The 26,207-nt window shown below is 35.6% G+C and overlaps 1 protein-coding gene across 14 annotated transcripts in view; it reads left to right on the top strand.

The window, feature by feature from the left end:
• MAGI2 (membrane associated guanylate kinase, WW and PDZ domain containing 2) overlaps nucleotides 1-26,207 on the top strand; it is a 1,436,613-nt gene that overhangs the window by 718,028 nt on the left and 692,378 nt on the right. The window contains exons 1-2 of one of the 14 annotated variants that reach the window (XM_017012847.3): nucleotides 1-24,004; nucleotides 26,046-26,207. The exon at nucleotides 1-24,004 is cut by the window's left edge and continues 26,552 nt beyond it. The exons of 12 other annotated variants lie outside the window; for them this stretch is intronic. The gene's annotated coding sequence lies outside the window, so the exon portion shown is untranslated. One more of the 14 variants, XM_011516720.4, reaches the window with a different exon arrangement.

The raw sequence follows: 26,207 nt of genomic DNA, 5'->3' as shown, positions 1-26,207 counted from the left end.
CATCAGTGACAATATGTTTTGCAAAGATTTGTTCTATAAGAGTGTGAGTCATCCAAAATTGTAGTCATCTCTGTTGGATAATTTGGAAGCATTATTTCTAAGATGGAACAAGGAAAACCAATGCCAATGTTCTAATAAGTTGCTCAGTGGTTGAATGGTTTTTAGAAAGTATATTAATGAAAGTATTGCATGAAATATTTGAAAAGGACAACTTAGTAAATTTATTTTTTCCTATCTCATAGTCCAGTTAGCTGTTACTGTTGTTGTATCCTGGAATAGGACATAAAACTTCTGGGAAGATCTGTAGACACCCATTTCTATGAAAGTCCTTCAGGGTTGTCTGTATGTGAGGCCATCAAATAATGCAGTGACTTGTCTTTCTCTTACAAGGTAAAACAAAGAAATATAAGGTCTTCTGATATACATTATAATGTAATTTTTCTACCATATTAAAAATATCAGTAAAAAAATGGCAGAACTACTGGGCAATCTGTACACACATGGAAAGATAAGAATTTGTCAATAATTTTCAAAATAGGCAGTGGAAGTGCAAGATGTTTCATGTATTGTAGATTTAGATAGTCTTTACAAAAAGCCAATTTAAAAAATTTACCACCTACTTATACGTAACGAAACTCGACACAGAAAAGTTATGTATCAGTTAGATTTTGCTGCTCTGTAACAGACAATCACAAAAATCTCAGTGGCATACAACAAAGAACATTTGTTTCTCATATGTGTGCAGGGTTCACTGAACTAGGCTGGGCTTAGTTCAGTGGTTTCGCTGATCTCTCCTGGGATCACTCACTGACCTCAGGATGACCACAGGCTCTGTGCTAGGCTGGGCTTGGTTGGCATCCCTTAGCTTTGACAGATCTGCCCCCACGTGTTTTTCATCCTTTTCCTGGGACCAACAGTCTAGTCTGGGCATGTTCTTCTCATGGCAATGGCAAAAGTGCAAGAAGGAAAGCGGAAACATACAAGACCTCTTGAGGTCTATGTTTGTCACTGTTATGCTGTCACTTCTGATTTGTCCTGTTGTCTGAAGCGGGTCACATAGGGTGGTCAAATGTACTTTGCTCTTACAGGAAGTACTCAAAATTCACTTGACAAAGGAATGACTACAGAGGGGGTGAATTATTGAGGCCATAAATGCAATTAATATTCCACACTGTATTGCCTTGGGTCCTATAAATAGTGGCTCACTGAGGTAGGTCAAGAACATAAGCCTCTTTAGGCAACTGCTTTCTCAGTGGTTCCTTAGGCAGGTTTTAGTGCTTCCTTCTAATTTGGTCCATTCAGAGGCTTTTGAGTGGTATTGAATGGCTGCATTTATATTCTAGTTTCTACCTATTACAAAAATAAAGGAAAATAGATTCAGATGATGGTACCAACTTCCATTTGCCTCTGTGCAGCTGCAGTGATCACATGCTGCTATATTTGATGCCTGTATTGAGAGAAATAGAGAAAAATCATAATCTGTCAAACATAATTTGTTGTCTTTGTCTTATTGCATCTGATTGCTTTGTCCAAATTCTCATTCATAAGCAACATATGATATCATCTATTGTCGTTCTTAGATGATATGAGGAAAATAGGTTCAATCCATATAGTTGTTATGTTTACGATTATGCATTTTACATTTACTGAGACAGTATATTAATTTAGACTACAAATACTATTGTTCTTTGCTATTTTGTTGCTTATCAGTCAATTACCGTTTTCAGATATGTGACCATTACAGTTGGGGCATTGTATTAAATACAAATATTTTATTTCCTCTTGTTTTAAGAATGCTCCTTTATACCTGCACTTCACTTATATTAGTGGTAAGAAATTGATCTTATAGTCACAAATACTGAGTTTATTCCTTAAAGGCATGAATGTCTTACTGATGGCTTGACATTATAACACAATATAAAGATTTTGCTGTCTGATTTCCTACAGACAAGTATAACACAACATTATTTGGACAAAACCCTTACTAGAATGTAAATGCTGTATGTATTATTTTAGGATACTTTTAATACTTCTCTGCATTTTTCTTAAAATAAATTATTGATTTCACTGAATTTATTTAACCGGAAAATAACATGGAACTCAGAAAGAGAATTTTACTAGAATGATTCTATTACAATATTTTTGCTGTTAATATGTATTTAAGAGGCTCAGGTGAAGCAATTATGGCTAAGTGTGTATGTGTCCACACAATTGTAAATATTTTTAACAACATACATCTCTTGTTCACATGCATTATAAAATCAAACTGCCCCCAAAATTTTCTCCTCTCCTGCTTCTCTCCTAGGAGTAGGACAAGACAGTATTGGGAAATCATTTGGCTAGTGAAGTAGAATAAGGCCCCACTCCCTGATATATTCTACGATATTTTGCAGTTATTTATGTTAGTAAGAACTAGTAAAGGCTTTTATAGTAATTGCCTGTGAGAAGAAATCTGCTTGTGTTACTAAAGATTTTGCTATGTGGATTGCTGAGTTTCCTCATGAACCTCACATGTACTCTGTACCTTTTCCTTCACCCCAATTTAATCTTCTATTTTGAGAATTTATTATTATGTTTTTAAAGCTCTAATCCTGTTGCGCCATTTCCTTGCACAGCCCCTTAAGGCTCTTACTCCTCCTCTACCTGGTTACCTTCAAAGAGAAAGTCTGATTCCTAGAATAAACAGTCCCACATCAACTTTGCAAAGCTCTTCCCTTATCAGTCTCCAACAACAATCCTCTGCTCCAGCAGTCCAGTTTATGGTGGTCTGATTTCTAAATCCTTTATTAAAGGTGTTGTTACTTTACACCCTAAAAAACTCCATAGAAAATTTTAAAATACAAAAAATCCACAAATAAAAACATCACCTATGATTCTACCTCAGCTATATAATCATTGCCATCTACTTGGAGTATTTCTTCTGCAAAATTTTCATTTCTTCATTGTACTTTTCCCAAAATTTTTATCATAAACCCTTTTAAACATCTTGAAAATTTGGAAGAATTTTACAATAAACATTTGTATACTCAGATTCTACCACTCACATTTTACTATATTTGCTTTATCACATATCCAAAATACATCACTCCTATATTCTTCTTTCAATCCATCCTATTTCTGGTGCATTTCAAAGTAAATTGCAGATTTAGTATGTGTAATTACAGAGCAGTTACGAGTTAGTTAAAAGTTCTAGATGAGATGAGGAGACCCATCACAAAAGGGACACAATCTATCTGATATCATAGGCTTTCCTAGATAGTACCAATGCTTCCATAAATATACTTAAGGTGTCAGACTATATGTCCTGATTTTTAGTTTGGAAATCTGTCCTCATAGGACATATCTGGGGCTCAGAGTCTTCAAAAACTAGGTGATGAAATATAGGCCATTCTCACTCAGGCAAGCTGAATTCTTGGGAGATAAACAGAAGGTACTCTTTTATCATTGACCCACCTACCTTTAGTTGGTGACAACATAAACAGCAGGACGGAGATGATGATGGAGGTGCTCTTCCTAACAGATTCAGACACAGAATACCTTCAAGATTTTATTGTTCTTTTCTTTTCTTTTCTCTCTCTCTCATTCTTTCTTTTGCCTGTTTTATTGCTTGCTTTTAAATTTATTTTTAAATTCAGCAATACAAAATATCTATTCTTCCTTCACCTTTTCACTTCAAGCCTGGAATGTTGGCCTGGAGTATGTGGATTAGCTTCTAAAGAGAGTGAATCTCCTGAAATTTTACATTCAACTGTGTGAGTACACGTATGCAGAAGAAGGTGTATGACTTTTGTCAGATCCTAAAGGGTATCCAACCCCCAAAACTGGGAGAACAACTTACTTAAATCCATAGATATACAGGGGCTCAAAGAAAATAGAACCAGTGCTTAGAGAGGTATGTCATGGTCCCCCACTCATTTCATGAGCAGCAAAAATTGGATACTGAAGAGTGGAAGATTTTTGTATTTCATTATTTCTGAAGTACATTCTTTAGTAAGAAAGCTAGGAAATGTGTGACTTCCAGAGCTTCTGCTAAATGTCACTTTAATAGGAAGCACTTTCATTGAAAATATTATTTCAATGGGATTCTCTTACTCCTTCAACCAGCTAGTATATATTAGGGATTTGGGGATTATAATGTTGCTCAGCCACAGGTCAATTTTGTGCAAATATTTCATTTCTTCCTTCAAATGTCTGGTAATGAATGTAACCTTTTATTTGTTTTCACTGCTTTCTTGCCTATTCAAAATTATTCTCAGGCTGTATTCCAGAGTGGAGAAACCAAGTAGAGATAAAGCTTTTGATGATCAATAAAGTAGACACAGATGGTGTGTAGGATATAGCAGTGGTTTTCAGAAGCAATTTTTACAGTTCTAATTCTTTTACTGTTTCTAATGTCATGTTTACCTGAACTAATTCTTCCTCTTATTATTCATTCTCTATAAATACACTCTTATTTGTAAGTGCTCAGAAATATGCTACCTAAAAAAGACTTCAATGGCACTTCTGATTCACCCAAAGGAAGTAATTTGTTATAAATTGAAAGGTTGGGTTTAAAGAGAAAATGGATTGTAGAACATTGTAAGGAGCTTTTTTTTTTAAGAAAGAATTTGTTTCTCACAAGAAAAGTTGGCCTTGTGAAAATTTGAGGAAAATTGTATTAAACAGAAAGCTATTTTCTGAGGGAGCTGTAGTGTAAGGAGAGATTTTTAAGGTTGTTTTCAACCTCAAAGTTTTGGCTGTTCAGAAGATTCAGTGAATATATCTTTCTGCTACCCAGGGAGAAAGCCAAAGAGAAAGTTGGCAAACTTAAAATCTTGTTATATTATCTTCAGGTCCTTAGCTGATCATTTCTGCATATTTAAGTATATAATATATCTTAATGTTTGTCTGTGTTTCCCAGCGGAGACCACTATATAATAAATATATGGTACTACTTTATGTTTGTTTTAATGTATTGCCTTAAAAGTCAACTCTACCGTGGAATACATGTGGCCTCATTCATGTGACCATTTATTATTGAACTTAGCATGTCTTTGCGCTGTACATCTTTACTATTTCAATGACTTCTAAAGTTCTGCATATTAAAAGTCACCTTTTTCAATAGCATAGCACTAAAAATAGAAGCAGTCACAGATGTATCATTAATGAATAATCAATAAAGATATCCTTCTATAAAGCCTACTGATTGATTTTGATGCCAGTTATGCCTCTTTTTTTTTTTTTTTTTGGCTTAGTATTAGTGGCTTGGAAGAAAGGTACTTAGGGCCCATTGAGCATTTTATATTCGTGGAATTCATTCCTGATGGTTAGCAAAGTATTATTAACTTGTTTTGAGTCATTGGAAGAAGTCATAACAGAGAGAAATGTATTTATCATGGTTTATATTACACAAGATAGTAACTCTGGGGATAAAAATTTAAGGTATATATCTTAAAAATTGTTTTGACTGCACAGACTACTTTATGAATAGGAAAATATAAATGTCTCTAATCAGATAATTTTTAATTATTTGGAATAATAAACATTTCTAGCTTTGAACTTCTATGCTTATCTTGTAATTTGAGTTGCATTTGGTTTATTTCAAAGATAACAGAGGAATACTCAAATGAGAGGTTGGGGTGCTTGCCTGGCTGTGCATCCCCCAAGAGGCTTCACAAGGTGTCATTACTTTAGTGGGCCTAAATCTGCTCCTCAAACTCAGAAGTTCTAAATTTTATTTTTGTCAGCTTACTCATAGTAGACTGATTTCTTGATGTAAATCAAACTGTTTATTTTCCCTGATAAGTAATTGTGAGGTAGATCAGAACTCTTGGTCTCTCAAAAACATTATATTCTCCTATAAAAGATCTACGTAGAAAGCCAATTATAGTCAGACTACCAAACCAATGTATGTTCAGAATAAAAGGAGTCCTATGGCTCAAACACTTACTGGCATCTGACAAAACAGTATGAAGCATCTATCTAGAATTCTCTCTGGATATAAATCCCCTGCTAGACACAAGCTCCATGTGGATGAGGGCCATTGTGGTTCTTGTACACCACTGTATCCTTAGCACCTAGTCTGACAGCTAGAACATACTGTGTTCAAAAAATATTGAATAGATGAATGAGACTGTAATTCTCTGAGTCTGTTGGCCAAGATGCCTTCTCCCTTAACAGTGTTTGAGTGGGCATTGCCAAGGTGTGCTTCTGGAATTCTTTTTGCTATTCTTTCAGTACTATGCCAACTCCATCCTGATTGACTTTTAGTTTCATTAGATAGATGAATGTCTTCTGTTTGTCTTTGATCCCACCTAAGAACCAGTCTAACCCTTTGAAGAAATTTGCTGAACCCCTAATGTGTTGTATCATATTATATGCCAGTTTTGTAATTTATCTTAACTTTAAAATGACTGGGAGTAATCCTCACTTTTTTTCTTGTTCTTAACTTGTATCCCAGTGGTTTGGATATTGGCACTAAACCAATGTGCCTTCAAATTCAGACATTCCTATTTTTAATCACAAGATCTTGAGTGAGTAAAATATCTAACACATTGTAAAGACTTAAGTCATATGATCATTATCATAGATATAGCCTAATACCATTACAAGTGGCTGATATCCACATGATTACAAAACTCTGCATCTATAGTATGCCCTCATTTCTTACCCCTTTTCAGTGAGCAGAAGCCTAAGAACTAGTTGTACCCTGTGAGAAAATATTAGGAGCTATGCCACAGAAAGGAAGAGTAAGATGAATCATTTTTTCAGATATAAAAAGATCAGAGAAAGATGGGGCCGGGCGCGGTGGCTCACGCCTGTAATCCCAGCACTTTGGGAGGCCGAGGCGGGCGGATCACGAGGTCAGGAGATCGAGACCATCCCGGCTAAAACGGTGAAACCCCGTCTCTACTAAAAATACAAAAAATTAGCCGGGCGTAGTGGCGGGCGCCTGTAGTCCCAGCTACTTGGGAGGCTGAGGCAGGAGAATGGTGTGAACCCGGGAGGCGGAGCTTGCACTGAGCCGAGATCCCGCCACTGCACTCCAGCCTGGGCGACAGAGCGAGACTCCGTCTCAAAAAAAAAAAAAAAAAAAAAAAAAAAAAAAAAAAAAAAAAAAGATCAGAGAAAGATGGACATACCAATTTTGAAATCTTTAATTCAAACTTTGATGGTACTAGGTCAAGAGTGTTTGATGGCTCTATCTCATCTATGTGAATAGAATTCCCAGCTAGAATTTGAGTTCCATAGAGTAAGAACCAATGTGCATTTTGTTTACTGCTAATTCATGCGGGTATAGCATATGATAGATCATTTTTTAAAAAGCTTTTTAATGAAAGGGTGAATACCTGATGACAAATTCTTAAAATTGGGCTGTTTATATAATAATCTATAATCTAAAATAAAGATCCTTCTTATTTTTCTACGATTTACTTTGTATTTAATATCTCAGTTATCATCACCCACTGTTACCATAACCTCGCAGGGAATGAACATCCTTAATGCAGATTATTCTCAAATAATCTATATTCATACACACAAAAGTTTGAGTGGATTGGGCCAAATAAGATAGTATCTAGTTATAACTTCACTCAATTTTACCTTCTTAGGCATTCCCTAACTATCATATCTAAAAATTGCCCCCTCCATCACCATTACTGGCAATCTCCATACCTGTTCTCTATTTCTTCTTAGTGTGCATCACAACCTGGTATTATATTGTGTGTTTATTTTTACTCTCAGTCACTAGACAATATGCTCTTTGTGTGCAGGGACTTGGTTTTGTTCTCAGCTGTATCCCCAGAGCGTAAAATAATGACTGGTCCATATATGCCTCTTGATAAGTAAGTGTAAAATAAATAAACAGACTCAAAGATAACAGATGTCTAGACTTTATTAGCGACTAACCAACTGAGCATTAGTTTCACAGCAAGCCTGATGTGATTAGCTGTCAAGTTTCTTGTCTATAGCGTTTGACCAAGTGTTACCATTCACATTTAAAAAGTCAAAATGAAAACCTCACAATATCCTTCATGTTGTGACTTCCATATTTGATGTATATACTTCAGTTGGATCTTAAAATAAGAATGTAGTTCACTTGTTTGTTGTTGTATTTTACAGACGATGACTTGTGCATTTGCATCCATGAAAATTCTTCATTAATAAAGAACTACACAATTGCCTTGAAAGTTCTGATAGTCACAGCAAACTCTAAGGAATAGGATCATATTACATTTTGTAGTATTTCTATGGGCACTTAGAGTGTAGTAAAGTCTGCTATCAAGTATCATACATTTGCATATTCTGAGAATCAAGTAATGTATGGCCAGGTAATTGCTGCAACATAAGACACAGTTTCAGCCCCATCACAGAGCTAATAGCGCATGACTCTCTCTCTCTCTTCCATACCACACAAAATATCGGTCAACTTATATATCGATAAACTCTAAAATGTCTCTGCTATTCCTTCCATCTTTTTGTGTCTACTTCCATTGCTTTTTCTCCTCTGTTTCTACTGGCTTATCAAACTGTTATTGCTGCCAGATGTCAGAACATTAATTGATTTGAGCCAAGGTAAGTCAATGTCAGTCTGACAAGAAAAAGCTGCTGATACATAGGTACACTAGCAAATGCTGATACAAAGTGCACTGATCAGGTGTCTCAAGGACTGTGCTCAAAGACATTTATTTAAGATAATGGAGTTATTTTAAAGTTAACATAAATACTTCAAAAAAAAAAAACCCATGCATCTGAGAATTTAGTAACCATCTAAGAAAATAGAAAATGAAAACCAGATTTTAAAAGGATGCCTAAAAAGATGTGATTCTTATCAACTATTTTTGCTACATATTACATAGATCTTTAAATTTTCATTTGTTTCATAATTTGTAGCAATATTATACAGCTGTAAATTAGTTGAAATTAATATTTAAGCTGAACTAGCATATTATACCACATCAATTTTAAAAACTGCATTCTAGATTATTACTTGGGAGAAGTATTCTCTGTTATATTAATGTTGAAACCATTTATTCCTTTAAAAATGTGACTTCAACGATGATAATGCCAACAGTAATTTTGTCCCCACCTTGCCCTTCTATCTTTTATCTAACTTCAGTTAAAGGAAACTGATAGAGAGTTGTTTACTAATTTGGCTCATGTTTTTTTCCATACCTCTTATTTTCATTTGAATTATTACTTCAGCTATAGATGCTATAGGAAAGATTTATGAAGTTAACCTCTTCCAGTTTATTCAGCTCAAACAAGGTGGAGACAAAGATACATTTCAAGTTAGCACATTTAGATATAATGACTTGATAAATACTCAAAAGTCTTGAAGCTATTCCAAACCTTTGATAACATTTAGTTTTACAAATGTTTTACACACATTTAAGTTACAAATAAATGGCAACAGAAAACATAGTACTGTAAATTATCAGTGGTTCCTTTTGTTATTTCTCTGAAAGATTACATAGGTTGTGAATTCTAACTATAATATTAACCCCCACTTAAAATTATTTTTGAACAATAAGGGAGAATACATTAATTTTTCATCTTACAAAGGTATGTCCCTATCCAAATTATCTTTATAATTTAATATAATATTAACTTCAATTTAACATTTTTGGAGCAGCTATATTAAACATTCAATTTAACATTTTTTTTGAGCAACTATATTAAAAGCCTGGGATATAAACATATAAAGACAATGACAAAATACTAGGTAAAGGGGGTTTGGAGTATAACGACTATCCAGTACATTTTACAACTAATAAAAGAGCTGGGTCATGAGCTTCCAAGACTAGGGAGTGTCTAGTTTAACTTTGTTTGTTTGTTTGTTTGTTGTGGTTGTTGTTGTATTGAGACCGAGTTTCCCTCTGACGCCCAGGCTGGAGCGCAGTGGCGCAATCTCGGCTCACTGCAAGCTCCACCTCCCAGGTTCCCGCCGTTCTCCTGCCTCAGCCTCCCAAGTAGCTGGGACTACAGGCGCCTGCCACCACGCCCGGCTAATTTTTTCTATCTTTTAATAGAGACAGGGTTTCACCGTGTTAGCCAGGATGGTCTCTATCTCCTGACCTTGTGATCTGCCCGCCTAGGCCTCCCAAAGTGTTGGGATTATAGGCGTGAGCCACCGTGCCTGGCCTAGTTTAACTTTTCATTTCTGTCATTCAGCATAGTGCCTGACCCACAGTTAATACTTGGTAAACAGTTGCATAGTGCGTGTTTTCAGTGCTGTGATGGGGATTTATTTTTAAAAAGTACAATGGAAGGTTTAGAAAGGAAACAACATATAAACCTGATTTGTTCAAAAGTGAAGATCAAAATAGTTCTATGGTCATTTTTTAAATTTTTTTAGTGCTCAGAAATCCACACCTAAGCATGAACCATTTTTCGATCTATTAGTTCACCTTTGGATTCACTTATAGATTAACTTAGTAACTTGGGCCCTAAAAACCATAAGCGTTAACGCTTCAAAAAAGACGTAAATTGTTAACCAGCTGCCTTATTTTTCAGGAAACTTAATTAGCTTTTCTTCATAAAAGACATTTTATCTGCAGGGCTTAAAAATGCAACGTTGTTTTAATGTAAAAAATATAATTGAGAAAATAGCTTTGCAATCCTCCTTCATTCCAGTAAATGTGTCCTGCTAGCCATTTGTTATTCCTAGTTCCTCTATTTTTTTCTTTAACATTTCAAAAATCTTCACTGAATATTAAAAATGAGAAATTATTGGGCACTTAGAGCGCTTCTCTCCAATTGGCTCAAGGTCTTCTAAAGTCACTCCTTCAATGATTCATGTGACATCCTTCTGAAGTAAAATGGTGCAACTGGCAAGTGCTGTTATGCATTGTTATTAGAAGTTGAAACTCAAAAGTTAGGTGGTCTAGCCTTGGACCAGCTGGAAGTGTGTTGGCATATCTCAGGGTACATGTCTCAGTGCTGGAATTGCTGTACAAGACATGCTACATGCTAGGAAAGCATTTCAGAGTAATCTCCTGGCACCTCAAAGAGGCACACAGGAGCAGGCAACCTTTCTTCTCCTTCCTCCTCAACAGGAGCAATAGAACTAAGGGCCAGAATAGAGAACTCCACAAACTAAATAAGGGCGCCCATACTTTAATGCAAATTGTGAGACAGTTGGGTTCTGTAAACTCCCTCATCAATTTCCTGCACCTTCTCATTTTTAAAATGACTGTGCACTCGACTTGAAAGCTTCTGCTCCTTGCTTTCCTGCCATCTACAACTATGGTACCATCATAGGTGCTGGAAATCCCTTGCACTTTCATCTGACTCTCTCATTTGAAACCCATCTTTTAGTAAAGCTCCATTACTTTTTCAGTCTTTAGTCTACACAGAATATAAGCATTGCAATTTAGTCTCTGTTTTGAACCTATGCTAGTGGCCTAGAGAGGGAAAGAGATGTCCCCAGGCAATGTAATGTCTATATCCTCTCTTCCTACATGTTACTATGCTGTGCCCCTGACTCAACCTTTTCATTCTTCTATACATTTCCTTTAGTTATCCTTTTAATCATTTCATTGTGATCTCTCATCTCCTCAGCTACAGCACCCAATTAAAGCCTTCTTCCCTGGCAGTACTCATTGTCTCAGTGATTGACTTTCTGTGCAGCAAGCAGCAGGACCTAGACCACACCCCTGCTATTTTGGTAACATTATCACCCAGTTTTCCTTCTTTTTTCCTCTTTCTCCAGGCAATCAAATGTAGACACTCCTCAATGTTATTCCCGAGTGTGGCTTCGTCATGTTCTGTTTTGCCTCCCCAGCAACCTTACCTCCTCCCATGGCTTCAACTACCTTTCACAACATCTATCTCCCTATACTTTGAATTAAGCTTTTACCTGCTCAAGAAATTTTAGAAACTCCCTGTCATGTATTTAATAGAGTCAGTACTCCCTGGTTTTGACATTCCTGATCCAAATCAATTTCCCTCTGACCTATAGTCATCTCTTCTGTTACTCTCTAATTTTCTTATTGTTAGCCAATCTAGGCCACTGGTTATTTCCTCACTCTACACCCTCTTGCTCTTGTGCCTAACTTAGTCTCTTTCCTCTTCTTAATTGCCCTTCATACTATCTCTACATACCCTAATTTTACCTATTTTTCTAGAAATACCTCAAATACTGCATCCTTCATGATGTTGTCATTGCCTCTCCCCCTTGAAGCAGTCCCTTATCAATGTTTTGCAATATTTGGTCAGAAGCTTACTTGTTTCAGAATCACTTATGGTTCTTATTAAATATGCAAATTCCTAGGCCTCTGCCCACACTTACAAATGTGTTAGGGCCCAGGCCTTCTTGAATTTAGTAAGTGCTAAATAAATATGGTTGATTGAAAGAAAATGGATGAATGTATTTTATTAGCCAGCATCCAATGAGCAATAGAATTTATAAGGCCATCTTATAAACATATATATTGACCAAAGAAAATAACAGTTTACATTTTTCTTTTGTTTTGAAGAAAAATCAAAGTATATTTAAACAATATTAGGATATTATTTAAAAGATTAATCATGCGTTTCTAAGTATGGATGCTTCCTTGATCACTGCAATGCTTAACAGACAACTTAATATCTTAAGGTGGCCTGGGATTTACTAACCATTTTCTCTTAGCAACTTTACTGAGTGCTCTTTGGCAATAATTTCCACATTCTTACATCTTCCTTTTCCTTTAATATGAATCGCATCAACTAGATAAGCCAACTATAATTCTATGATTATATTATTCTATAATTAAGCTATATGGCTTTAGGAGGGCTATGACTTCTGATTTTAGACTATTCCTGGTCAATCCTATAAAACATAAGTACCCACATTTAAGTTCCCCCAGGGATTCTCACAAAAGAGTTCAAGACTCTTAGACAAACTGTCTAAGAAACAAATGTATTTAATTGTCCTTAATATCATTCATGTTAAATTATTTAACAGAGGTTGTTTTGAGTATGTGTTAAATTTAGCCCGTGTCTTACTGCTTACGTTATTAACTGATATATCACACTGAGACTGATGTTTTGCCATTGTGGTATTGTGCCTGAAAATGAAGCCAGAGTTCTGGGCTTTTTTGATGATGAGATTTAAGATCTATATTTCTTTGGCTATAGTCTTGAGCAAATAACTCTAATAAGAATGAAAATAGTGTCTTTGGTAGAAATTCATTTTGTAACATTTGAATATGGAAAGGTGACTATGAATATACCCTCAAAATTACTTGTGCGATTATTCCTGGGTTATGTGTTAGGCCTATGAAACCTATTTTGAAACATGTTCCCATGCAGAAATATGACAAATAATGGGTTAAAATTGTTGTGCTATTTCCTCCTGAGAGTGTCATGATTAGATATATCGCCTTCTCACAGTTCAAATTTTAGTTTTACTGGTGGATATTAGTTTTGAAAGTAAAACTACATTGCTTATTCCCATATTATTACTGCTATTTATTATACAATTTCCTAGATTAAACAATACATTCAAATGAGGTAATGAATTATGTGTTTTAAGAGCAGAATGAGCTATATTTGTTATAGAATATTATGTTAAATCTTCATTGACAACATTAAAGAGTCATACCTTTTATGGGTGTTAGTTAATTACGTATACTTATTTCCTTGGAACAAGATATATTTTACAAATAAAAAAGTTTTTCTATAATATTTTGCTCTCACTAAAAGTAATAATAGATTATACAATACATTTTATTAAAATCTAAACAATCAAGTTTGCTAGTTGTTTATGTCAGTTCTTTGATTTAAATTTTCTGAGTCTAAATGTTACTTCACTCTACCTTACATTTTTCTCTTCTCTTGAAGAAAATAAAAATTATTATTTTTATCTGTTTATGTTTGGGTTTATAAATTAGACTTGGAAATTCTAATACTCATTGGATGCTAGCTAGGAAAGCTTGTCTGAACAAATCTTACCCTTCAGCCTTGATATAATCAGTTTCTTAGTAAAAAGCTACCATCTTAGTTCTTTGAGAACCTTCTCAATAAATTCTTTGCAGATTTCTCACAATTTAATAGGTTGGAAAAAATTGGAATGACTAGAAGACTGAATTTAATTTCAAGATAAGCACAAATTAGAAGATTTCAATATGTTCCTTTCAAAATTCTGCATCTACCCGGGACCTGCCTCTGTGATAAGGGGATATCTATTCTCTGCTTTCTAAAGTATCAGGTAACCCACATATGTCATACATATGCCCTTGGTAACTTGAAGGTACAGGCATATTGATTTTTTTAAAGGAACCTACAAATAGTAGGATTATTTGAGATTAATTCTTATGCTACCTTAGTCACTCTGTGATAGCTAACTATATGCTGAGAGACTTCATTATTTTTCTGGGCATATACATTCTGGGCATATACATACATATACAGTGATTTTATACATCACTGCTTAGGTGACCTAAAAGATGTTATACAAAAATTCCATTTATTAGAGAGGACCCAGCCATGAGGAAGAACTGGTACAGTGTGGGTGAGTAAAAATGTAAACAGAATACATAGATTTCCTATTTTTTTCTTGGTTATGTAATATTGGTTTAAGCACTGGTATAATTGCTTACTAGAGTTAATGTTAGATGTTAGCTTTTTAAACGTTAGGTCCAACTCTTTCTTCAGAGTTCTTCTAGAAAAATGATTAGGCCCCCTGTATCTCCATTTCAGATTTCAATCAATTATGTTGCGATTCTCCTTACATACTGTGTGGCATTAAATCACAGAATTTCCCCAGAAGGAACAATTTTATGATCCATTCATCACACTTGCTATTTTTATATCCTTTGTGGAACCACAGGTTAGATCCAAGGGTTGTCTATTTGATCTTTCTTACCTTTGAGAAATAAAAGTTGATTATTTGGTTTTCTGATGAAGGAAAAGATGATTTTTTCTCAACTTATCCTTTGAGAAATTAATCTCCATGGACTTTGAATAAAATGGCATGTAGTGTCCCCAGGGTACAAATGATTTAGAAACATCTTTTCCCACGACAGCTGTACATTAGTAAGCTGCTTTGTATATGGTGGTGTCCTGTACCACAAATGGACCATTTCTCGTGGTCTTCATTATTAAATGTAAGAGATTATTCTGACATGTAATGAATAATATTTTATAAATTATAAATTATATATCTAAATAAATTATACAACTAATGGTTAAGATGACTGATTTTAGACCCATACTGTCCAGATTTAAATGTCAGCTTCACTTACTAGCTGTGTCTAGGAGCAAGTTAATTATTCTGTACCTCAGTTTCTTCATCCATAAGATGAGATCCCTAATAGTTTGAATCTCATAGGTGTATTATAAGGATTAAGTGAGTTAGTACACACTCAGTGTTGTATGACTGGCACATAGGAAGCATTCAGTGTTAGCTATTACTATTTATAGCTTAGGGGAAAAACAAAGTCATACTTATCAGATGTCAGTACTGTGTTTCTCCAAATGTTGCTTCTAAATTTATCCCTCTTAGGAAGGCAGGATTTATTTGTAATTTTATATATAGTTAATTAGATATATTTTGACATATTTACAAAAGAATTTATCTGCATTTTAGGTAATCTTATCTAGCCACAGTACTATGATATATGATTCTGGAAAATGTGGAAATGCAGCCATTTGATATATTTTTGTAGATTATGAGTTCATAGTTAATGAAAGATAACCGAGTAGATTTAACTAAATATTTATAATAACTAAAATTATAGATGATAAATTATATAAAGTGAAAGATTAGTGCACACATTAAACTGGAGTTGCATATCACCTCTATTTAAACTTTTTACTTATTTCAAGAAAATAATCACAAACAACTACCCTCTAGAAAAGATGGTTCAAATTAAATTCTGTCCACAGGAAAGGTATGTTTGGAGAGTAAGTCCCCTGTAATGAAACTATTGATAGTACTGCAGCCAGGCCCCTCATATGTCAAACACCTGCTTTGGTGAGACAAGTTTAATGCATAGAAAGAGCTCTTAATAGCAGCAATAGGATTCCAAACCCTTGGCATGACCTTTGTCGTTGAAAGTAAAAGAAAGAGGGTTGCAACTTGCTTATTTTCTTCGTGCAAGATCCTGCATAAACCCCAATACACGATCATAATTCTAACTAAATGATTTTTTTAAACGTAGTGGTTTCTATCACTCACTCCTTTTTCAGTAGACATACTGATGACAATGTCACTTCTGTAAACTTTTGGAGAACATAGTCTTACTAAACTTGCCAACACAATGCTTAGGTTATTTGAAGGTCACTTACAGTTGGATTTTTTTTCTTTATTTTTTTTCCTTCAACCTTAAGGGAAGCTATTTGATAAGCTTTAGTTTATTATACAAAAAATGGGTATTATTTTATTTGGACATGCAGTATTTGTAAGACTTCAATTGTTTATTTTATTAGAATGTAAAATTGATTGGAACAGCATGTGTCAGATCCTTGAGTTCAAACAAATTCTTACCTTTTTCTTTAACATCCTATTAATTGGTTCACATAGAAGGTATAGGGAAACTGGCTCTCCAGAATGTTGGAAAGCTGGAGGCAGAGAAATTCTTCAGGTAAATCTAGATATTCATCCTATTTTCCCCACAGACATAAGGATGCAACATTTCTAATGCCAAGTCTGTTATTCAATACATACACACAAACCCTCATTGTATTGTTAGTCTACACTTTTCCAAATGGTGATGTAAGTGAAAAGTATAAAAGCACAGTGACATAACAAAGGTTGGGTTTACCAGACCTGGTAAGACCCTACAGTGTCACTGGCAACCGTATGTCCCCAGTGAATCATCTAGAGCAGTGGTCCCTAACCTTTTGGGCACCAGGGACTGGTTTCATGGAAGACAATTTTTCCACGGACAGGGGTTGGGGGTGCGGGGATGGATAGTTTCGGGATGATTCAAGCACACTACATTTATTGGGTACTTTATTTCTATTATTATTACACTGTAATATATAATGAAATAATTACACAATGCACCATAGAATCAAGGGGAGCCCTGAGCTTGTTTTCCTGCAACTAGATGGTCCCATCTGGGGGTGATGGGGGACAGTGACACATCATCAGGCATTAGATTCTCATAAGGAGCGGACAACCTACACCCCTCACATTCACTGTTCAAGATAGGGTTCCTGCTTCTATGAGAGTCTAATGCTGCCACTGATCTGACAGGCAGAGTTCAGGCGGTAATCCAAGGAATGGGGAGTAGCTATAAATACAGATGACGCTTTGCTCACTCACCTGCCACTCACCTCTGCCGTGTGGCCCAGTTCTTAATAGGATGGTACCAGTCCATGGCCCAGGGGTTGAGGACCCCTGGTCTAGAGGACAAAGTGCTGAGATGGACGGTATGTGCTCCTACTTGGTGTGACTACACTGGAAACATAATCTAGCTTTACAGTGAGCATATACAATGGTATTTATTCCTGCCACTCTATAGTTGATCTGAAACAGCGTTATAAGTTTTTTGTCACTTTAGATACAGGCTTGAATCCTACTTAGGCATCAAGCCTAGTTGCCATTGCTTTTCTACTTAATAAGCATGAATTAGCTGGTGCTCTAATAAGAATTCAGCTATGATGATAAATGAGCAAGGCGTTCCACCCTTGTTAAATAAAGAAATAGTGAAAAAAATGCAGAATGACAAGAAGTAAAGTTTACAAAGGATCCATCATTACAGAGTTATCTTGGGTTTGCCCATTGTAGAAAACGAAGTCAGTAATTGAAAATTTCAAGTTGAAACTGACTTTCACAGTATTTGCTTATATTAGTACTTATGCTAGTACTAATACTTATACTAGTACTGCTATTGTCAGTACTAGTGAACCACTCTAATGGCTCCACTACCTACAAGCTCTGTGCTTAGGAAAGTTATTTAATTTCTATTAGGCTTAGGTTCCTGATTTGTACAATGAAAATAATAATACTTCAAAGAATAGTTGCAAGGAGTAAACTAAATAAATAATAGCTGTAAGTTTGGAGCTTGACATATAGTTTGCAGTAAATAAAAATTTGCCATTATTATTTATGTTTAAAGTAGATACTACTATCTGTATTTTACAGGAAAGGAGAATATTGGGGCTCCGATATTTTCACCCTCTAGCCTAAGTTCATTCACAGCTAGTACGTTGAAAGCACACACGATTCACATCCATGTGACTTCAAAGAGAGTGGAAATTTGTAGCAGATTTTCACCATAGTAAGGTCCTGAAGCTGGCCCACTAATGTTACATTGCCCAAGTGTACACAGTTCATTGATATATGGCATTTTTCTTCTCCCAGATGTTGCATCCTGCTTAATTATATACCTTTCCTGTTTCTGATTTTAAAAATTGTAACGTTTTACCTTTTCACTCTGTGTGTGTGTGTGTGCTGTGTTGTGTGGTATAACTTCCATGTTACTGTTAAGATGGAGAAAAAAAGACAAGGAGGGCGGCTCGACGGTAACACAGGTTTATTGGACAAAGACCTGCGGAGGGGGAGCACCAGCGAGCGCAGGAGCCTCCTTTCCCGCTTGCAGGCTGGGGCAGTTGTAGGTCCAGGCGGGAGAGGTCTGAGGTTGCTGTGAAATGGGGTGGGAATGGTATGCTGGGCTGCTGATAAGGAAGGAATTCACTGGGTTAGGGGTTAGGCCTGGGACCTGTCCCACAAGATGTTTCTTCACGGTTCAGTCTCTGGTGGAATTTTCCACTCTGACCGGAGTTTATAAAAGGTGGGAGTCTGCAAAATGCTGTGGCTTGGGCTAACAGTTACCTGAGGTCCTCTTACCTTTTAAGCTGTAAATAAGATTGGATTCCGTGCCCCATGAAAAGCCCAATATAGTTCTTCAGTTTTCTCTGAACTTCCAGTGGGTCTTACATCCTCATAAACACCTCTGTCTTGAACCACTTTTCTCTACAACTTTTTTGTTTTTTACTCTGTGTCCCTGCTCTGGTATATAGCCAAATGGGGAAATTGATCTTTCTTAAGCACACATGATAAACACATTTCCATAAAAATCAGCGTGCTCAGCAATGTGAATGTACCACACTTTTCTGAATTATGAGAAAGATTTTGTAAAAACAGCAACAACATAAAATTGAATATTAGATGTCTAAAATTTTTAATGTTTTCCCTCTAAAGGCCACTCTGCCTTTCCTTTCTTCTTTTTTGTATTCCCCACCACCCACTAATTGCCATTAATTTCTAACTTAGGAACAGTTTTGCTATTTTTCATTGCTTTCTCTCCTACTAACACATGTTCTCATCTTCTGCTTTCTACCATAAGTGCCTTATCAAGATATTTTCCTGATTCTAGGCAATTTTCTCTTTAAAAGAAATACTGTTTTCAAGGATTGATACATGCATACACTATAATAGTAAGCCATCTCAACTTTTCCTGGAAGAAAGGGTAAAATTAAATAAAATTAAAATAAAACATAGCAAAAGTCACAATTGAAAGGTGGCTCTGTGGGAAAAGAACTGCAGACCAGAGCTTAGAAATTCCTTGAAAACTTCAGTAAATCTTTATGCGTTCTACTACACACTACTTGCAGTGGGGTACCACATTTAGAAACACAGGAACAATTTCTCTGTTCCCAGAAGCAAGCACTAGCTACATACACAAAGCCCCTAGTCTCAGCTTATCTGACTTACCACGTGAAGGGCAATTTGGTTTTAGGTATGAGTGTTGAATCTCCATTTTCTAACTGGAATGAAATTATGATTCCAAGATGTTCTTTTCCTAAAAGCTCTGTGACTGGATTGAAAATTCCGAGTGTTATGGCTTCAGTAGGTGTCTCTTCTGTGTAGGACTTATATTTTGTATTTATTTTCCAAATTTTGGCTGTACTTATTGGCACTTTTATATCCCAGGAAAAATGCCAGTTATTTGAGAATTTTTAAACTATCTTATTATCTAAAACAATATGTTCTTATTATCTAAAGATTAACCATGAAATGAATGAAGTCATTGTTATAATGCTACTATTATTTTACTGTCATCTGTCTTTGGTATCTTCACCCTTCTATGCTTTTTAGTTAATCATTTACTATATTTGTGTCATTAGGCTAATCATTCTGCTCATTGCTTTCTTACAGCTTTCACTGGAAGTTAAAGTTTATTTAAATTGGGCTTTCATTGAGTTATTACTTAAATCTATATCATGTAGATTGAGATTAAAGATTTATGCAAAGAGGCATTTCCTATTGCTTTTTGGTGACAAAGTCCTTAATTTTTAACAGGTAAGATATACAATGATAAAACCAAGGAAACTTTAAAAATATACCTCCTTGCAGGTAGAGTTTACTAAAATATTCTAGACAGTAAGAAGCAAATATTCTTCTTAAACTTCCAGGACAATGATTCTGAAACCGGTTCAGGAGTCCATTCCAATTCACTCTATTTTCTACTTTATGTTACTGAGTATATTTCTTGCTGTTATTTCATCCTTACTGGAACCGAAGAAAAATAGATCCTTCCCTCCCACATTCTCCCAATCTCTAAAGAATAAAGCTAATTTGCCTTAGTCCTGATTCCTCCAAGCAAATCAATTCCCATTTGATTAAACTCTCTTAGTAAATATCAGCCTTAGTGCCAATGCTAAACACAGGACTCTCTCCTTAACAAAGGCTACAGAGAAAAACATATATAAGAGGTCTCATCATGAACTATTATTAGGGAATGTTTATAAGGCCTAAATTGAAAACTCTAGCGCTTTAGTCATGGAGGAACAGTATGATTCCTTAGAAATAAAAAAGCTGACATTCAAAGCAATTTAATCAAAGCTCTTGCCATTCCCTCTTGGGTTTCAGACACAATATGAGGCTGTTTTAAATCATTGTGACTTCCATCGCTCAGCATCTTTGGAAAATTCAAAGCTGTGTTTGGCACCTGAAAGCCTTTGCATTTCCCTCCTACCATGATGGAAGTAAATTCCTCATATGCTTCTTATTTTAGATATTCATCTGATTTTATCTGGTTTGGGCTATTTGCTGACAGTGCATGGTTCTTGAATAATACAGATAACGTACAACAAACACACTCTGCTCCCTGGTACACAGGAAATGAAGATGCTCACAGTACCCGCCTCCATGAACTAGCTCAATAAATTTGAATTGCTCATTAGATTTCCAATGCCTCGTTGTTGCCTATATGTGAAGAGCTTAAGTGAATAGGAATCAGATGGAAGGTGGGGGAGAACACACAGAGATTTCACATAATTCCTGTTGCCAGAGAAACCATTTTCTTGCTGTCTGGGCATGCACCGAGTAGCTTAGATGAACTGGAGGCTCAGCACAGCCCTTGCTGTGACTTTAGTAAAGAAAACAAACAGAAGGGAGAAAATGCTTACAAAGTAAAGCAGAATTGGATATTAAAATGTTATTTTAATTAGAATGGTTTTGTAGACTGAGCTTTGAAACCTTGCCCCCTAAGGACACTGATCCATCTGACTACACATGTGTTTCCACACTTTGTGTTCATTTATGTATCTTTTTTCTTCTGTGTCTAGAAGACCATGTCTTCATATATGTTTATGTACACTATTCATATTTACACAAGTATATTCTCTTCCCCCCTCTTTCTTTCACCTCTTCCCCCCACAACACATATCACACAACTGTGCTCTTTTGAAAACATGGGAAACTATTCTCAGTGGAAAAAAAAAAGAATGTGGCAGTAACAGAGTTTGCTTACCCAAGCCGAAAAGAAATAACAGAAAACGAGGAAGCACAAGGAGAGTACAAACTGTGAATTCTAGACTTGTTTATTTAACACTTGGATCTTTTTGATGAAGGATGGTTGCTAAAAACAAAAGTTAGAAAATCAATTGAGAATACGTGAGGTAAAACGTTCTGTATGCATGGTTCTCCATGCATTTTTCCATGCATTGTGAGTATACAAACTATATACTGAATCAACATAGTACCTCCTTTTGTGATACTATTGAAGGAAAGCAAGTAAGAGTAGATTTTGTATTTATTTGTGTATGACAGCTCTGAAAAGAGCTATTACATATTTTGAAGGTTCTTGTTTTTTAATGTACCGCCATTCAAGGTTTCATGGGGATTTTGACTTCTTGACCTTTCAGAAGAGGGATAGTTGGCAAATACCTTTGATGTATAGAGATTCTGTAAGACTGAGTCTGTCAATGAATTCCTTGATATATCTCATCCCATGTAGAAATGGTCACTTTCTGTTAGTGCCATCTCCACTTGTATGTAGTTTTAGTCAAAGTGCCATCTTACGCCACATGTTTGTCTTTCTGCCTTCATCCCCACTGACTTTATCAAATATGCCAAAACTATAACCAGGGCCTATTCAATTTTATAGCTCCTATGCCAAGCATAGGGCCTAGTACATAAGTACACAAGAAATGCTTATTAAAATGAATGAATTATTTAATTAGCACTTTACCCCAAAGGAATAAACATTATGCACAAGGTAACATTACAAATTAGGAGTAAAATAGGAGACTAAATTCAAGGTTCCAAATTGTCATGTCATAGTCATCACTGAACACATTTCACGTTTATAAAATAAGAAAATCACAGGCTTTCAAACATAGTCTCACATTTCCAAAAGCATATTTTTTGGGGAAAAAATATTAAGTAATTTTGGTTTTCATTTCAATTCTTCTGATTAAAGGTCTAATGTTTTCATTTTCGTATGTAAATTCCCATCTTAGATTGTTGCGATGCTAAAATCTTTGCCTGTACAATTACTACAGATGGCTGATAGTTTCAAAACATTCACACTAAAATTATTTAGTTTTTTTGTAATGTATTGATTTTTGCTTTCCATTTGTCTTGGGGATGGAAGATTTAAATTCTTCGATTTTTGATGTTTTCTTCTGCTTTTCTCTCAATTCTTTAAATCTTTTTGCCTTTTGTACATCAATTAAACAGATAACAGTAGAAGTTATTAAAGATCCTCACATAATAATGTCATTACCTATCATTTCTGAGAGTAGATCTTGTCATTCGATATGATTGCTGGATTCTGACTTTACCAACTAAAATGCACCTACTGCCCTTTACTCTTTTGTATATTTTGATGAAACTCTACTTCTTTTTAAGATCTCAATTCAAGTTTCAATGAAGTGCAGTGAGTTTTGTCATGCTCCCTTTCCCCGGTTAGTTTAGCTGATAAAAAAGCAAAGATACTGCAGCGTTAGCTTGCACTGGGAATCAACGCCTTCTTGTGTTAGATTTTTTCATTATAAATGCAATTGACAGAGGTGTCTTTTATAAGCTATTTGTTATACAATCTTTATAAATAGCTCTCATCATGTATAAGACAAGTCTAAATTTGTTTGGAAATAGCTTCTGAAGACACCCTGCTGTGGCTTCCTCAGAGTGCCAGGCAGGCATTCAGTGGGGGAGTCAGACAGAACAAACTTTATCTAGTCATCTTTCCATCAGCTTGAAATGATGTGCATCACATCCAGCTTAAATGATTTACTGTAAGTAGGAACTTGGTTCATAGACGAGTGTATATAATCAAGCAATATGTAGCCAAACTCTACATCATCTAAGATACATTTTATTTTAATTTCTTTTTAGAAATGTCTTGCTTAGCTATTTTTGTTGACATTGCCAGTAGCACTGTTCCTTTTAACCTAGAGTTGACCTGCAGTCCAGTGGAGGAAGGTCTTAAAACTCAAACATGCAATTTCTAAAGACCAATGTGTATAAGAAAGATAGAAAGCTTAGGACTCTTTAAGTTGTTGGTGCCATATTTCTATTCAAATGCAAGTTCAAAAATACATTTCAAAGTCAAATAGAAATAGTTTTTGGATTATCCACCATTTTGGATTATACACACCACTGCTCTCCATTACTGCAGGTAATTAAGAGCTGCCTTATTCTGTGAAAAATATTTTCTTAAACATCAACGCTCTCTTCTATCAAACTTTCACAAGAACTTCAGTAAGTGAAGCTGACTGATTGTAATTCCACCTCCTTTCTCTACTCAGTCTCTGGAGAAGATATGCCAGAGCAACAGTATCCTACAAAGCTCTTAGGAAGGAGGTAAGAAGAGAAGCTGGGGACCTAAAGACTCCATCGTCAGTCCTTGATCATGGAAATTTTTGAACATAACATTTCCAATGGTCATAATCAGAAAATATGGCTCTAAGGGGAAAAAAGAACAAAATGGAAATAATCTGACAAGTATATAGACAGGACAAAATTAGAGAGCAAAAGCAGACTATAAAGATGATCTAATTCACCCATTTTATTCCTGCCCCCATTTTACACATAAGCGTTATGAAATCACCCTTTCTAGGTAATAACATCCCTCCTCTCTGCAACCTCCATTCCTTGCTCATATTTCTAATGTTACCTTATTATTACTATTATATATACTCTTCTGAAACTATTTGCTTGTCTTTGACACCTCTTTAGTCTGAGACCTAGTAGGGGGCTCATGCTGATGCCAGCACAGTCCAGACCTCAAATAGACAATGAATGTTTCCTTTGTTGAGTCTAATTAATTATATACGTAAACTTCAATGATGTGCAAGTTTAACACACATATATCCTGTGAACTTCATATCACTAAATGTGAGTATGAACCTCAGTCCTTTGAATATTGCAAAGTCCTTACAAGTGATGTTGTGATCATCATGCACTAGACTACAAAGAGAATTTATAAAGACTTAGCTGATTTCAATTGCCAGATTAATTATATACTCAGAGCTTACCTGTCAAACAGTCAAACATTCATTGACTCCATTTTAAAGTTGTTTAAGTATTTTCTAGATGGTAAGAGCATTACTTTTTGATTTAGTTGCCAGGCTTAAACTCAAATTCCTTTGGTAATAATCATCAATTTTGCAAAGCATAAATGAAACTGTGAAATTATAGGTACAGAGGGGTTGCCTGTAGATTGACAAACCATATGACTCTAGAGTTTTTGTATCTTTTGACTTTCAAGAACTGCATATGTTTTTGTGTCAAGCGGCATTTAATCATTCCATCAGTAGCAATATACTGAGCTTTATGAGCATTTCTCTCTGTTAAGCTCTCAACTCATGCCTTCCTTTGATCACTACGGTTCATCAATAGGATATTGTACCCACCCTTGCAATAGCCCCCTGAGGAATGTGTTTGGTATTATCGTGCCATGGACAGATAAAACTCCAGATTCATTCAGAGATTAAGCTTGCTTCCTCCTTGTTATGTTGTAGTTCACTTCTCTAAGAATGGGTCAAGAGTCACATTCTTTGATGGGGTTAATATGGAGTGATTTGGTATCCATTACCTACACCCTCTCCCCAAACATAGGGTTCTTTGCACCACCTATGCTAAGACCTGGGAATCCCCAGGGTACTTGGACTCAATCAGGATCATGCAGGGCTGGCAAAGGATTTAAAATTAGCATTAGTCCTGATTTTGATGGTTATCTAGCTGTGTGAATTTGGACTAGGTACTAACTTATCTGAATTTCAGCTTCCTGTTTAGTAGAATGTGTGTAATCTTGTCTGCTATAAGGATTAAATAATGTAATATGTACTTAGTATGTGGTAATATGTACTTATTAACAGAAATAACCATTCTGTTAGCAATGCTTATTTAACATGAGGCAACTCTCGTGAAAGGTCCCTTCCCTGTTGAGGGCTGCATTTACCCTCCTGGATATGTTAGTAACTTAGAAAGTTCTGTTTGAAGGTTTGATGACTTCTAGGTTTGTGATCTAAAAGAAGAGTCATGAAAAGACTGTGCTGACCTGGCTGGCTGTAGGATTGACACAAGAGAAACATGCTGTACAGGGTAAATACTGGGAAGTTATGAGGGAGCAGAGTATTTAATCTGTGATCCTACAAACATAGACCAGGCAAAAAGTCAATACCAAAAGATCATGTGTAAATGCCAGGAGCCAAGCATAGAAGATACTAAGAGATATAGCTGAGGACAGCAGCTGAAGATGAGAAATGAGGAATTAGCTAAGGCACAAACACATATAAATTCTGCCGGATGGCAAGCCATCTTCAGGGCCTATTTCAACTAAGCTCCTAAGAAACTCATTGAGGACTGGGATAGTAAATGTAATTTGTACTGTGTGTTCTAGCTTATATGGTGCTCAGTATAGTCACAAAATAAACGTGAACTGAAGTGATGGCCACAGACATGGGAAAAGTATGATGAATGCTCTAACGGTGAAACACAGGCCAGACAACTGACCTAGGCCAGAGATGTCTAAGAAAGCTTCCTACCAAAGATGAAATCACAG

This window comes from Homo sapiens, chromosome 7 (genome assembly GCF_000001405.40).
Source record: "Homo sapiens chromosome 7, GRCh38.p14 Primary Assembly".
NCBI classification, from domain to species: Eukaryota; Metazoa; Chordata; class Mammalia; order Primates; family Hominidae; genus Homo; species Homo sapiens.
The sequence above is the reverse complement of the archived record's forward strand: the minus strand, read 5'-3'. Positions and strand labels throughout refer to the sequence as shown.